Source organism: Homo sapiens, chromosome X (genome assembly GCF_000001405.40).
Source record: "Homo sapiens chromosome X, GRCh38.p14 Primary Assembly".
Taxonomy (NCBI): domain Eukaryota; kingdom Metazoa; phylum Chordata; class Mammalia; order Primates; family Hominidae; genus Homo; species Homo sapiens.
In genome coordinates, this window is record NC_000023.11 from 115,839,435 (window position 1) to 115,854,355 (window position 14,921).

Consider the following 14,921-nt stretch of genomic DNA (forward strand, 5'->3'; position numbering starts at 1 on the left):
TCCCACCCACCTCTGCCCAAACCGCAAGGGAATGAGTAAGAGAAAAGGTCTGGGAGTATCTGGCAGCAGGTGGTCTTGGGGTGGGGGTGGCGGACTGAGAGTGTGAACGTCAGTTGGTGAGGAGTGAAATGGAGCCAGGAAATTCTGAGAAGTTGGAGCTGGTCAAAGACCAGTTGTAGTGCCCTCAGAGGCCTTAGATTTCTTTTTAAGTGTCTCTTTTAAGGTGAGTTCACTGGAGAGTGTACCTGGGCAGGAATGACTTTGGTTCCCACTGAAAACACGTTTCCATTTGTGAAAAAAAAAATTCTCCCAAAAACCAATCAAGGACTACATTGTGAAGAGAAAAAAAAAATTCCACAACATCTTCACAGTCAAGTTTTTAAGCAACCCGAATAGCTTGCATGATTCCCATGAGCCTTGGGAACTCACCAGGCTATTATTTTTAAAGGACCTTTATTTGCATCTCCCCTCCCCTTAGGGAACAAGGTGCTGGGAGGATGCATGCCCCAAGTTAACACTCCTCAGAGTACTGTCATCAACAGATTATCTTCATTTTCCTTAATACGCTACAGGTGTCTCCATTCTGCAAGAGCAGCAAGTCCCTTTTTTTTTTTTTTTTTTTTTTTGAGACGGAGTTTTGTTCTTGTTGCCCAAGCTGGAGTGCAATGGCGCGATCTCGACTCACCACAACCTCCGCCTCCCAGGTTCAAGCGATTCTCCTGCCTAGGCCTCCTGAGTAGCTGGGATTACAGGCATTCGCCACCAAGCCCGGCTAATTTTGTATTTTCAATAGAGACAGGGTTTCTCCATGTTGGTCAGGCTGGTCTCGAACTCCCGACTTCAGGTGATCCACCCGCCTCGGCCTCCCAAAGTGTTGGATTACAGGCGTGAGCCACCGCGCCCGGCCGCAAGTCCCTTTTTTCAAAAGAAAATATCAATCAGAGGACTGGTCAGGCAGGGGAAACCTGCGAGTCGCTGTCACTCCTTCGGCCTCAGCACATCCCCACCCACCTAGGCGGCATACGCGCCACCAGCAGCATCCCCTGGAAGGCTGCAGAAGCAGCGCTGGGCCCCTAGCAGTTCCAGAAAAAAAGTGGGAGGTGACAGGGCACCGGCAGTGTCTGGTCTTGGGAAGACGCCTCTCACCTGGGGAGGGAACAATTGAAGCTTTCAATAACGTCAGGCATACAGATGATACAAACTTATAACATCGCCTGAAAGTGTACTTGCTTAAGCTTCTTTTTCCTCTAAACCGTTTTGTGAATGTTAAACAGTAAACTTTTCATTTTCTCGATACATCAGTCTCCTTTGCCCTCTTGCCAGCGAAGACCTTACTCAAAGGAAACAAATGGGACAAATAGGTACTCCTCAGCAATTAGCTAAGACAAGAGGTTTCCCACCCAACTTTCCCAAAGCTGCCTCTCTCCGCCCCTTCTTGCACCAGGAGCAGGCTGAGGACACCCCACTCCTACCCTGGGCGGAGCCGGCTCTAGGAAGACCGGATTCCTCTCCCTTCCCCTCCCCGGATTCTTTCAGCCCTCACCTCCCAGGAATGGGGAGGGGGCATCCTACCCCATATCTGAGGTGCGACTGCGGGACGTAGAGCGGACTGGGCCTTTCCCGTTGGCGCGTGGCCTCAATCAGGTAGGTCTCCTTCGCCTTTTCTTTCCTTTATTTGCCTTTCCTTTCCTTGACACAGGACACGAGATCAGGGTTTGTGCCATGGGCAGCCTTTCTGGTGCAGAGGACCTTCCCTGCCCTCCGGCTTCTGGGCAGCCAGTGCCGGGCGCGCGACCTTGTGCAATGGCGGCTGCAGCCGAGCTGGCTCCAGCGTCCTGCAGGCATCGGAGGGCTTTCGGGCGCGTTTTGGACGCCGAGTTTTTGCCGCTGCCTAAGTTTTAGTTCTGGCAAGTGTAGGGAGGTCCTTCTAGTAGAGCCTTTCTGGCCTTCCCCGTCGGGAGCCTGGAAGCGTCTCCTGTGGCAGGGCGGGCAGAGGGAGAAGGGTGCGCCTGCAGATTTCTTCGCCCCACTGGTGTTCTCCCCACCTACATGGCTGAGGAGGTGTGCGCTCTCGTTCGGTTTAGATTGAGTGGTTGTTAAACCACGTGGCTGCCCTGCCCACAGGCAGGGCTCCCCGTAATGTAAAACTGTAGAAGAAACATTTCCTCTAACGAATAATTGAACAAAAAGAAATACAGCTTCAGGCCGGGCGCAGTGGCTCACGCCTGTAATCCCAGCACCTTGGAAGACTAAGGCGGGAGAATCACTTGAGACCAGGAGTTCGAGTCCAGCCTGGCCAACATGGTGAAACGCCGTCTCTAAACAAAAATTAGCCACGCATGATGCCGCGGGCCTGTAGTTCCAGCTACTCTGGAGGCTGGGGCGGGAGGATTGCTTGTGCCCAGGACTTTGCGACTGCAGTGAACTGGGATTGCTCCATTGCACTCCATCTTGGGCATCAGAGCCAGAGCCCTTCTTTTAAAAAAAGAAAGAAAAACGGCAATATACTTCATTTCCATATATGCACTTAACAACGTGGAAGGACAAGCCCTCAAAATTTTCAGGGACTTGCCTGGGCGAGGTGGCTCACACATTTAATCCCTGGACTTTGGGAGGCCAAGGCGGGCGAATCACAGGGTCAGGAGTTCGAGACTAGCCTGGCCAACATGGTGAAACCCCGTCTCTACTAAAAATACAAAAAAATAGCTGGGTGTAGTGGCGGGTGCCTCTAATCCCAGATACTCGGGAAACTGAGGCAGAAAAATCGCTTGAACCCGGGAGGGGGAGGTTGCAGCGAGATGATAACCTGCCAATGCACTCCAGCCCTGGTGACAGAGTGAGATTCCGTCTCAAACAACAAAAATTTCAGGGCTTTCACATTTTCATCTTTCTACAGTTCTGTAAAATAGGATTTGAAATGGCCGTGATTATTAATGAAATAAAAAGAAGATTATAAAGAAATAATTTAAGGTATCAAAGATGATAGAAGATAGTCATAATAATACAAAATATCGATACAAGTTGGACAAATTATGTAGACAAAGAGTCAAAAAGGAAAGAAAACACAATTACATTGGTTATTTCTAGAGGGCAGTGCTCAGTGTGTGTGTGTATTTGTATGTGCATATGTTTCTTGTTACTGATACTGAGGCAAAAGTTTGGCTTTCTTTTCTCTTCCCTTCTCTGATTCTTTCCTCCTTTCTTGATAGGGAGTCTTCCTCTGTCACCCAGGCTGGAATGCTGTGGCACCTTCAAGACTCACTACAGCCTCAACTTTCTGGCCTCCAGCAATCCTCCAAACACATCCTCCAAAGTAGCTGTTATTACAAGTGCGCACTACCACACCGGGATAGTTTTTGGTTATTGTTTGGATGGGTCTTTTATTAATATTACTATTTTTTGCAGAGATGGGGTTCCGCCATATTGCTCACGCTGGCCTAGAACTGCCGAGCTCAAAGAATCCACCTACCGTGACGTCCCAAAGTTGTGGAATTGCAGTGCTTCACTGGCCCCGGCCTTATTTCCAAAATGAAATAACTCACATAAGTTCTGTGGTGACATGTAAAAACCCAATTCCCGTAACAGCTTTCCCAACGTTGATTTTTTAGACATGATGAATGTTATGTGTTCTTATTAATCCATGTCCCCTTTAAAGGCACATGTGGGCAAGAAGAACCAGACAGTCCAAGAAACCCAATCATGTTGAGACATGGAGAGCAGAAAAGGAAGCGAGCCCGGAAGAAGTGGGTGAGAGGGCGTTGGACCTCAATGTCGAGAGAGAGAGAGTGACAGAAAGAGAGAGAGAGAGAGAGAGAGAAAGAGAGACAGAGAAAGAAGAAACGGTGCTGTAGAAAACAACAATGGAAAGTCCATGGAGGTCAAAGAGTCCGGCAAGGGACAGGGAGTTAGCAGCCTGGCGTAGTGTCTTCCCACTGTTTTGTCTGTCTTGAGAATAGCATTCAACGCGACTGTGTTCCCGCAGCAGACGTTAGGCCGCTGCCCACGCCTTGAGTGCCGGACGAGGTCAACATAGGCTTTCCGTCACAGAATATGTTTGGGCAGGAAGATCGGAACACTTGGGGCTGGGCCATCTACCGCTCCCCCACGGCACACACGAGTCGTCAGGGAAATGCCCGCCTCTGTGTGTGTTGTACGTGCAGCCTTCTGGGCAGAGCCGTGGAGAGTTGGACGTAGGCCAGGTGTGAGGAGGAGAGGTGTGTTTGGGGTGGCCACTGGCTCCCTTCCTGCGTGACGTAGGCTGGCGTGGGCTCTTCCCCCAGCCCCTTGCCGGTGCTGCCACGTGAGAAGGGCCCGGGTGCCGGTCCCGCTATTCCGGAATTGTGGGTTCACCTGAAGTTTGAGGCCAAACCCCCAGCGGTCAGTGGGACGCCAGTCGCCTTTGACCTCTTGGTCAAGCTGGCCTTGCCGTGACCCGTGAGAATGCCCAAGTGCCAATGTGTCCCGGGGGGCAGGGCCGGGGCTGGGATCCTCGTGTGTGCCCAGTCTCCTTCTCGTCCCTGCGGGTTCCACCATCCTCCCATCCTAACGCATCGTTAGGGATGCGGTTAGGTCGGGTCCATCCCCAGGGCGGTCCAAGGGGACCGCTTTCTGGTTTGTCAGGAAGGCAGGCTAGTAAGAAGGGTCCCGCCGAGTCCCATCTGCCAAGGACAGGGTCCCGCAGGTGGGCCAGGGCTGGCCCAAAGCGGCCGAGATGCTGATCCGCCATGTGCGGGGCGCTGTTGGCGTTTTTTCCTCAGCAAAGGGCGGAGGGAGTGGACGTGGGGGAAGGGCAGGTGGGCATTTCTGGAGCAATACTGCCATCAAGAGGAACTGGCTTGGCAATCCCGCGCACCCTTCGCTGTGCTCGCCTGGGGAGGAGTGGCTTGGGACTGTCCTGGGGGACCAGGCAGGACTAGGGCAGGTGCTCGGACGGATCCGAGGTCTCTGGAGGTCCGAGAGAAGCAGGCTCCGCCGCGGGGTCGGGCGGTGGAAGCCCCAGAGAGAGGCGCCAGGACTAGCTGGACAGCCAGGACGCCGGGCCGTTCCCGGACAGGAAGCCATGGCTCGGGAGCCTGGTGGCGGCCATGATCTGGGCGGGACCAGCGGAGGCCTCCGCCAGGGAGCCTGGGCTCGGGGCCTTGGGCAGTTTGCCTGGTGCCCCTTCCCGTGGGAGCAACCGGGGTGACGGCCTAGCTGGGTCCTCGGCCCGGGAGGCTCCGTCGGCCACACTGCACGCCTGCGGCGTGAGGAGGGCCGACTGCCAGTGCTGAGTTCCGTGGCCATTGGCGCCGGTGCCCGCCGCTGCTGGCCGGCGCCGGGGCGTTCCTCCTTGCGTCCTAGGGAGGAAGGTGGGCCGCGGGGCATCCCGCGGGGCCCGTACCCAGACGGTTCTTGACGAGGTGGACGCAAGGCCAGGCCCGGCCCGGCCCGGCCCGGCCCGGCCAGGCCACCCTTAGACGCCGCGCACCCGCCTTGTTGAGACTTGCCACCCTGTCTTGTTGTGTCCATGTCCCCGAGGTTGTCTTGGAGGCGGGCCGTTCCCCGTGGTGCTCATTTCTGCCTGGGGGCCTTCCGGGGACCCCGCTTGTCTTTGGGGGTGCGCAGGCCCTTGCCCTGCGATCAGAGGCGCACCGACCGATGAGTTCGGTGGCAAAGCTTGAGAAATGGAGACTCTCTGGGCATCGGCTAAGGGGGCCCGGGGCCTTCCCAGGCCTGCTGGAGTCCGGGAAGCCGGGGGCACCCAGAAGGAAGGACCCGTCGGACTCTGCCTGGGGACAGCCTGCTCCGCGCCAGAAGGGTCCGCTGCTCAGGCAGCATCCCCGTGCCTCTCCTCCAGTGGGTCCCTCAGGTAGAATCGGGGCAGGCCCCACTGGACGTGCAGGGAGGAGGCTCGGAGGATGCATCCTTTGCAGGACCCGGTCTGGTACAGCAGCAGACGGAGCCATCTCCCGGGGCTTTCTGGCTTCTCCGAGGGTGTTCAGGAGTCTCCCAAGTGCACAGGGGCTCGTGCCCAAAGGGTGGAGGTCGGCACCGCTTCGCTCAATCCAGGAGTGGAGAAGGAAGCTAGAGGACCCTCTGGAGGTGGCAGGTTTAATGTCCTGCTTTTTTATTTATTTATTTATTTATTTATTTATTTATTTATTTATTTATTTTGTAATCAACTGAAAGAAGGCAGAAGGAGTCGATGGGCCTCTTAGGCCGGAAACCTTACAAGCATAGGACCAAGGCAGAAAAGGGCCAGAGGGTTCATGGTCCTCCGTTCCACCTGAATCCAGCTAGAGAGCGAGCCAGGGGGATAGGTGTGCCCCTCGTCGCCCGTGCGCTGAGGCACTGTCACGCAAAGAGACATTCACCTTCCACGTCAACGCACCTTTAAGGGCGAGAGCGGTCCGCCGTGCCCAAGAGGAACGGGATGACATTCAACTGGGACTTGCCTCACCTTGGCTTGGGGGACCTCGAGAGCGGTCCCGTGGGGGCGGTGTTACTCGTGGTGGTAGAAGTGGAGGGCGTGTCCGGGTACTTGAGTTCATGGGCATCTCTCCCGCCGCCTCTCAGCCTATCTGCACCATGTCTCACACGTTCAGTTGCAGCTCTTACCGTTTTGAAGGCGCACGTGGGCAAGAAGTCCTGGGCAGCACAAGAAAGTCAATCACGTTGAGACAGAGAGAGCAGGAGAGGAAGTGGGCCCCAGTAGAAGTGGGCGAGAGAGCGTTGGGTGGGAACGTGGCACGAGAGAGAGAAATTATGAGATTGAGAGAGAGAGAGAGAGAGAGAGAGAAAGAGAAAGAGAGAGAGAAAGAGAAAGAGACAGAGAAAAGAAACTATGTTGTTTAAAATGCCAGCGGAAAGTCCATGGGGGTGAAAGAGTCCGGCAATGGCCAGGGAGTTAGCAGCTTGGCGTAGTGTCTTCCCACTGTTTTGTCTGTCTTGAGAATAGCATTCAACGCGACTGTGTTCCCGCAGCAGACGTTAGGCCGCTGCCCACGCCTTGAGTGCCGGACGAGGTCAACATAGGCTTTCCGTCACAGAATATGTTTGGGCAGGAAGATCGGAACACTTGGGGCTGGGCCATCTACCGCTCCCCCACGGCACACACGAGTCGTCAGGGAAATGCCCGCCTCTGTGTGTGTTGTACGTGCAGCCTTCTGGGCAGAGCCGTGGAGAGTTGGACGTAGGCCAGGTGTGAGGAGGAGAGGTGTGTTTGGGGTGGCCACTGGCTCCCTTCCTGCGTGACGTAGGCTGGCGTGGGCTCTTCCCCCAGCCCCTTGCCGGTGCTGCCACGTGAGAAGGGCCCGGGTGCCGGTCCCGCTATTCCGGAATTGTGGGTTCACCTGAAGTTTGAGGCCAAACCCCCAGCGGTCAGTGGGACGCCAGTCGCCTTTGACCTCTTGGTCAAGCTGGCCTTGCCGTGACCCGTGAGAATGCCCAAGTGCCAATGTGTCCCGGGGGGCAGGGCCGGGGCTGGGATCCTCGTGTGTGCCCAGTCTCCTTCTCGTCCCTGCGGGTTCCACCATCCTCCCATCCTAACGCATCGTTAGGGATGCGGTTAGGTCGGGTCCATCCCCAGGGCGGTCCAAGGGGACCGCTTTCTGGTTTGTCAGGAAGGCAGGCTAGTAAGAAGGGTCCCGCCGAGTCCCATCTGCCAAGGACAGGGTCCCGCAGGTGGGCCAGGGCTGGCCCAAAGCGGCCGAGATGCTGATCCGCCATGTGCGGGGCGCTGTTGGCGTTTTTTCCTCAGCAAAGGGCGGAGGGAGTGGACGTGGGGGAAGGGCAGGTGGGCATTTCTGGAGCAATACTGCCATCAAGAGGAACTGGCTTGGCAATCCCGCGCACCCTTCGCTGTGCTCGCCTGGGGAGGAGTGGCTTGGGACTGTCCTGGGGGACCAGGCAGGACTAGGGCAGGTGCTCGGACGGATCCGAGGTCTCTGGAGGTCCGAGAGAAGCAGGCTCCGCCGCGGGGTCGGGCGGTGGAAGCCCCAGAGAGAGGCGCCAGGACTAGCTGGACAGCCAGGACGCCGGGCCGTTCCCGGACAGGAAGCCATGGCTCGGGAGCCTGGTGGCGGCCATGATCTGGGCGGGACCAGCGGAGGCCTCCGCCAGGGAGCCTGGGCTCGGGGCCTTGGGCAGTTTGCCTGGTGCCCCTTCCCGTGGGAGCAACCGGGGTGACGGCCTAGCTGGGTCCTCGGCCCGGGAGGCTCCGTCGGCCACACTGCACGCCTGCGGCGTGAGGAGGGCCGACTGCCAGTGCTGAGTTCCGTGGCCATTGGCGCCGGTGCCCGCCGCTGCTGGCCGGCGCCGGGGCGTTCCTCCTTGCGTCCTAGGGAGGAAGGTGGGCCGCGGGGCATCCCGCGGGGCCCGTACCCAGACGGTTCTTGACGAGGTGGACGCAAGGCCAGGCCCGGCCCGGCCCGGCCCGGCCCGGCCAGGCCACCCTTAGACGCCGCGCACCCGCCTTGTTGAGACTTGCCACCCTGTCTTGTTGTGTCCATGTCCCCGAGGTTGTCTTGGAGGCGGGCCGTTCCCCGTGGTGCTCATTTCTGCCTGGGGGCCTTCCGGGGACCCCGCTTGTCTTTGGGGGTGCGCAGGCCCTTGCCCTGCGATCAGAGGCGCACCGACCGATGAGTTCGGTGGCAAAGCTTGAGAAATGGAGACTCTCTGGGCATCGGCTAAGGGGGCCCGGGGCCTTCCCAGGCCTGCTGGAGTCCGGGAAGCCGGGGGCACCCAGAAGGAAGGACCCGTCGGACTCTGCCTGGGGACAGCCTGCTCCGCGCCAGAAGGGTCCGCTGCTCAGGCAGCATCCCCGTGCCTCTCCTCCAGTGGGTCCCTCAGGTAGAATCGGGGCAGGCCCCACTGGACGTGCAGGGAGGAGGCTCGGAGGATGCATCCTTTGCAGGACCCGGTCTGGTACAGCAGCAGACGGAGCCATCTCCCGGGGCTTTCTGGCTTCTCCGAGGGTGTTCAGGAGTCTCCCAAGTGCACAGGGGCTCGTGCCCAAAGGGTGGAGGTCGGCACCGCTTCGCTCAATCCAGGAGTGGAGAAGGAAGCTAGAGGACCCTCTGGAGGTGGCAGGTTTAATGTCCTGCTTTTTTATTTATTTATTTATTTATTTATTTATTTATTTATTTATTTATTTTGTAATCAACTGAAAGAAGGCAGAAGGAGTCGATGGGCCTCTTAGGCCGGAAACCTTACAAGCATAGGACCAAGGCAGAAAAGGGCCAGAGGGTTCATGGTCCTCCGTTCCACCTGAATCCAGCTAGAGAGCGAGCCAGGGGGATAGGTGTGCCCCTCGTCGCCCGTGCGCTGAGGCACTGTCACGCAAAGAGACATTCACCTTCCACGTCAACGCACCTTTAAGGGCGAGAGCGGTCCGCCGTGCCCAAGAGGAACGGGATGACATTCAACTGGGACTTGCCTCACCTTGGCTTGGGGGACCTCGAGAGCGGTCCCGTGGGGGCGGTGTTACTCGTGGTGGTAGAAGTGGAGGGCGTGTCCGGGTACTTGAGTTCATGGGCATCTCTCCCGCCGCCTCTCAGCCTATCTGCACCATGTCTCACACGTTCAGTTGCAGCTCTTACCGTTTTGAAGGCGCACGTGGGCAAGAAGTCCTGGGCAGCACAAGAAAGTCAATCACGTTGAGACAGAGAGAGCAGGAGAGGAAGTGGGCCCCAGTAGAAGTGGGCGAGAGAGCGTTGGGTGGGAACGTGGCACGAGAGAGAGAAATTATGAGATTGAGAGAGAGAGAGAGAGAGAGAGAGAAAGAGAAAGAGAGAGAGAAAGAGAAAGAGACAGAGAAAAGAAACTATGTTGTTTAAAATGCCAGCGGAAAGTCCATGGGGGTGAAAGAGTCCGGCAATGGCCAGGGAGTTAGCAGCTTGGCGTAGTGTCTTCCCACTGTTTTGTCTGTCTTGAGAATAGCATTCAACGCGACTGTGTTCCCGCAGCAGACGTTAGGCCGCTGCCCACGCCTTGAGTGCCGGACGAGGTCAACATAGGCTTTCCGTCACAGAATATGTTTGGGCAGGAAGATCGGAACACTTGGGGCTGGGCCATCTACCGCTCCCCCACGGCACACACGAGTCGTCAGGGAAATGCCCGCCTCTGTGTGTGTTGTACGTGCAGCCTTCTGGGCAGAGCCGTGGAGAGTTGGACGTAGGCCAGGTGTGAGGAGGAGAGGTGTGTTTGGGGTGGCCACTGGCTCCCTTCCTGCGTGACGTAGGCTGGCGTGGGCTCTTCCCCCAGCCCCTTGCCGGTGCTGCCACGTGAGAAGGGCCCGGGTGCCGGTCCCGCTATTCCGGAATTGTGGGTTCACCTGAAGTTTGAGGCCAAACCCCCAGCGGTCAGTGGGACGCCAGTCGCCTTTGACCTCTTGGTCAAGCTGGCCTTGCCGTGACCCGTGAGAATGCCCAAGTGCCAATGTGTCCCGGGGGGCAGGGCCGGGGCTGGGATCCTCGTGTGTGCCCAGTCTCCTTCTCGTCCCTGCGGGTTCCACCATCCTCCCATCCTAACGCATCGTTAGGGATGCGGTTAGGTCGGGTCCATCCCCAGGGCGGTCCAAGGGGACCGCTTTCTGGTTTGTCAGGAAGGCAGGCTAGTAAGAAGGGTCCCGCCGAGTCCCATCTGCCAAGGACAGGGTCCCGCAGGTGGGCCAGGGCTGGCCCAAAGCGGCCGAGATGCTGATCCGCCATGTGCGGGGCGCTGTTGGCGTTTTTTCCTCAGCAAAGGGCGGAGGGAGTGGACGTGGGGGAAGGGCAGGTGGGCATTTCTGGAGCAATACTGCCATCAAGAGGAACTGGCTTGGCAATCCCGCGCACCCTTCGCTGTGCTCGCCTGGGGAGGAGTGGCTTGGGACTGTCCTGGGGGACCAGGCAGGACTAGGGCAGGTGCTCGGACGGATCCGAGGTCTCTGGAGGTCCGAGAGAAGCAGGCTCCGCCGCGGGGTCGGGCGGTGGAAGCCCCAGAGAGAGGCGCCAGGACTAGCTGGACAGCCAGGACGCCGGGCCGTTCCCGGACAGGAAGCCATGGCTCGGGAGCCTGGTGGCGGCCATGATCTGGGCGGGACCAGCGGAGGCCTCCGCCAGGGAGCCTGGGCTCGGGGCCTTGGGCAGTTTGCCTGGTGCCCCTTCCCGTGGGAGCAACCGGGGTGACGGCCTAGCTGGGTCCTCGGCCCGGGAGGCTCCGTCGGCCACACTGCACGCCTGCGGCGTGAGGAGGGCCGACTGCCAGTGCTGAGTTCCGTGGCCATTGGCGCCGGTGCCCGCCGCTGCTGGCCGGCGCCGGGGCGTTCCTCCTTGCGTCCTAGGGAGGAAGGTGGGCCGCGGGGCATCCCGCGGGGCCCGTACCCAGACGGTTCTTGACGAGGTGGACGCAAGGCCAGGCCCGGCCCGGCCCGGCCCGGCCCGGCCAGGCCACCCTTAGACGCCGCGCACCCGCCTTGTTGAGACTTGCCACCCTGTCTTGTTGTGTCCATGTCCCCGAGGTTGTCTTGGAGGCGGGCCGTTCCCCGTGGTGCTCATTTCTGCCTGGGGGCCTTCCGGGGACCCCGCTTGTCTTTGGGGGTGCGCAGGCCCTTGCCCTGCGATCAGAGGCGCACCGACCGATGAGTTCGGTGGCAAAGCTTGAGAAATGGAGACTCTCTGGGCATCGGCTAAGGGGGCCCGGGGCCTTCCCAGGCCTGCTGGAGTCCGGGAAGCCGGGGGCACCCAGAAGGAAGGACCCGTCGGACTCTGCCTGGGGACAGCCTGCTCTGCGCCAGAAGGGTCCGCTGCTCAGGCAGCATCCCCGTGCCTCTCCTCCAGTGGCTCCCTCAGGTAGAATCGGGGCAGGCCCCACTGGACGTGCAGGGAGGAGGCTCGGAGGATGCATCCTTTGCAGGACCCGGTCTGGTACAGCAGCAGACGGAGCCATCTCCCGGGGCTTTCTGGCTTCTCCGAGGGTGTTCGGGAGTCTCCCAAGTGCACAGGGGCTCGTGCCCAAAGGGTGGAGGTCGGCACCGCTTCGCTCAATCCAGGAGTGGAGAAGGAAGCTAGAGGACCCTCTGGAGGTGGCAGGTTTAATGTCCTGCTTTTTTATTTATTTATTTATTTATTTATTTATTTATTTATTTATTTATTTTGTAATCAACTGAAAGAAGGCAGAAGGAGTCGATGGGCCTCTTAGGCCGGAAACCTTACAAGCATAGGACCAAGGCAGAAAAGGTCCAGAGGGTTCATGGTCCTCCGTTCCACCTGAATCCAGCTAGAGAGCGAGCCAGGGGGATAGGTGTGCCCCTCGTCGCCCGTGCGCTGAGGCACTGTCACGCAAAGAGACATTCACCTTCCACGTCAACGCACCTTTAAGGGCGAGAGCGGTCCGCCGTGCCCAAGAGGAATGGGATGACATTCAACTGGGACTTGCCTCACCTTGGCTTGGGGGACCTCGAGAGCAGTCCCGTGGGGGCGGTGTTACTCGTGGTGGTAGAAGTGGAGGGCGTGTCCGGGTACTTGAGTTCATGGGCATCTCTCCCGCCGCCTCTCAGCCTATCTGCACCATGTCTCACACGTTCAGTTGCAGCTCTTACCGTTTTGAAGGCGCACGTGGGCAAGAAGTCCTGGGCAGCACAAGAAAGTCAATCACGTTGAGACAGAGAGAGCAGGAGAGGAAGTGGGCCCCAGTAGAAGTGGGCGAGAGAGCGTTGGGTGGGAACGTGGCACGAGAGAGAGAAATTATGAGATTGAGAGAGAGAGAGAGAGAGAGAGAGAGAAAGAGAAAGAGAGAGAGAAAGAGAAAGAGACAGAGAAAAGAAACTATGTTGTTTAAAATGCCAGCGGAAAGTCCATGGGGGTGAAAGAGTCCGGCAATGGCCAGGGAGTTAGCAGCTTGGCGTAGTGTCTTCCCACTGTTTTGTCTGTCTTGAGAATAGCATTCAACGCGACTGTGTTCCCGCAGCAGACGTTAGGCCGCTGCCCACGCCTTGAGTGCCGGACGAGGTCAACATAGGCTTTCCGTCACAGAATATGTTTGGGCAGGAAGATCGGAACACTTGGGGCTGGGCCATCTACCGCTCCCCCACGGCACACACGAGTCGTCAGGGAAATGCCCGCCTCTGTGTGTGTTGTACGTGCAGCCTTCTGGGCAGAGCCGTGGAGAGTTGGACGTAGGCCAGGTGTGAGGAGGAGAGGTGTGTTTGGGGTGGCCACTGGCTCCCTTCCTGCGTGACGTAGGCTGGCGTGGGCTCTTCCCCCAGCCCCTTGCCGGTGCTGCCACGTGAGAAGGGCCCGGGTGCCGGTCCCGCTATTCCGGAATTGTGGGTTCACCTGAAGTTTGAGGCCAAACCCCCAGCGGTCAGTGGGACGCCAGTCGCCTTTGACCTCTTGGTCAAGCTGGCCTTGCCGTGACCCGTGAGAATGCCCAAGTGCCAATGTGTCCCGGGGGGCAGGGCCGGGGCTGGGATCCTCGTGTGTGCCCAGTCTCCTTCTCGTCCCTGCGGGTTCCACCATCCTCCCATCCTAACGCATCGTTAGGGATGCGGTTAGGTCGGGTCCATCCCCAGGGCGGTCCAAGGGGACCGCTTTCTGGTTTGTCAGGAAGGCAGGCTAGTAAGAAGGGTCCCGCCGAGTCCCATCTGCCAAGGACAGGGTCCCGCAGGTGGGCCAGGGCTGGCCCAAAGCGGCCGAGATGCTGATCCGCCATGTGCGGGGCGCTGTTGGCGTTTTTTCCTCAGCAAAGGGCGGAGGGAGTGGACGTGGGGGAAGGGCAGGTGGGCATTTCTGGAGCAATACTGCCATCAAGAGGAACTGGCTTGGCAATCCCGCGCACCCTTCGCTGTGCTCGCCTGGGGAGGAGTGGCTTGGGACTGTCCTGGGGGACCAGGCAGGACTAGGGCAGGTGCTCGGACGGATCCGAGGTCTCTGGAGGTCCGAGAGAAGCAGGCTCCGCCGCGGGGTCGGGCGGTGGAAGCCCCAGAGAGAGGCGCCAGGACTAGCTGGACAGCCAGGACGCCGGGCCGTTCCCGGACAGGAAGCCATGGCTCGGGAGCCTGGTGGCGGCCCTGATCTGGGCGGGACCAGCGGAGGCCTCCGCCAGGGAGCCTGGGCTCGGGGCCTTGGGCAGTTTGCCTGGTGCCCCTTCCCGTGGGAGCAACCGGGGTGACGGCCTAGCTGGGTCCTCGGCCCGGGAGGCTCCGTCGGCCACACTGCACGCCTGCGGCGTGAGGAGGGCCGACTGCCAGTGCTGAGTTCCGTGGCCATTGGCGCCGGTGCCCGCCGCTGCTGGCCGGCGCCGGGGCGTTCCTCCTTGCGTCCTAGGGAGGAAGGTGGGCCGCGGGGCATCCCGCGGGGCCCGTACCCAGACGGTTCTTGACGAGGTGGACGCAAGGCCAGGCCCGGCCCGGCCCGGCCCGGCCCGGCCAGGCCACCCTTAGACGCCGCGCACCCGCCTTGTTGAGACTTGCCACCCTGTCTTGTTGTGTCCATGTCCCCGAGGTTGTCTTGGAGGCGGGCCGTTCCCCGTGGTGCTCATTTCTGCCTGGGGGCCTTCCGGGGACCCCGCTTGTCTTTGGGGGTGCGCAGGCCCTTGCCCTGCGATCAGAGGCGCACCGACCGATGAGTTCGGTGGCAAAGCTTGAGAAATGGAGACTCTCTGGGCATCGGCTAAGGGGGCCCGGGGCCTTCCCAGGCCTGCTGGAGTCCGGGAAGCCGGGGGCACCCAGAAGGAAGGACCCGTCGGACTCTGCCTGGGGACAGCCTGCTCCGCGCCAGAAGGGTCCGCTGCTCAGGCAGCATCCCCGTGCCTCTCCTCCAGTGGGTCCCTCAGGTAGAATCGGGGCAGGCCCCACTGGACGTGCAGGGAGGAGGCTCGGAGGATGCATCCTTTGCAGGACCCGGTCTGGTACAGCAGCAGACGGAGCCATCTCCCGGGGCTTTCTGGCTTCTCCGAGGGTG

General features: G+C 59.4%; 2 long non-coding RNA genes across 3 annotated transcripts in view, besides 2 other annotated features; one reads left to right on the forward strand and one right to left on the reverse strand.

The window, feature by feature from the left end:
* Positions 1-961: 961 nt before the first annotated feature.
* DANT2 (DXZ4 associated non-coding transcript 2, distal) overlaps positions 962-14,921 on the reverse strand; it is a 128,716-nt gene continuing 114,756 nt past the window's right edge. The window contains exon 2 of the long non-coding RNA NR_132337.1: positions 962-1,146. This is a non-coding gene — a long non-coding RNA (DXZ4 associated non-coding transcript 2, distal). The remainder of the gene's footprint in view (positions 1,147-14,921) is intronic.
* Positions 1,244-1,843: an enhancer, noted in NCBI's record as "H3K27ac hESC enhancer chrX:114957011-114957610 (GRCh37/hg19 assembly coordinates)". NCBI's record gives its function as "activates a minimal SCP1, AML or CMV promoter by ChIP-STARR-seq in naive H9 embryonic stem cells {active_cell/tissue: H9 hESC(naive)}" and the evidence as "EXISTENCE:reporter gene assay evidence [ECO:0000049][PMID:30033119]".
* Positions 1,530-14,921, forward strand: part of DANT1 (DXZ4 associated non-coding transcript 1, proximal) — a 64,564-nt gene continuing 51,172 nt past the window's right edge. The window contains exons 1-2 of one of the 2 annotated variants that reach the window (NR_147172.1): positions 1,530-1,644; positions 3,656-3,747. This is a non-coding gene — a long non-coding RNA (DXZ4 associated non-coding transcript 1, proximal). The remainder of the gene's footprint in view (positions 1,645-3,655; positions 3,748-14,921) is intronic. The other variant, NR_147173.1, reaches the window with a different exon arrangement.
* Positions 1,844-2,442: an enhancer, noted in NCBI's record as "H3K27ac hESC enhancer chrX:114957611-114958209 (GRCh37/hg19 assembly coordinates)". NCBI's record gives its function as "activates a minimal SCP1, AML or CMV promoter by ChIP-STARR-seq in naive H9 embryonic stem cells {active_cell/tissue: H9 hESC(naive)}" and the evidence as "EXISTENCE:reporter gene assay evidence [ECO:0000049][PMID:30033119]".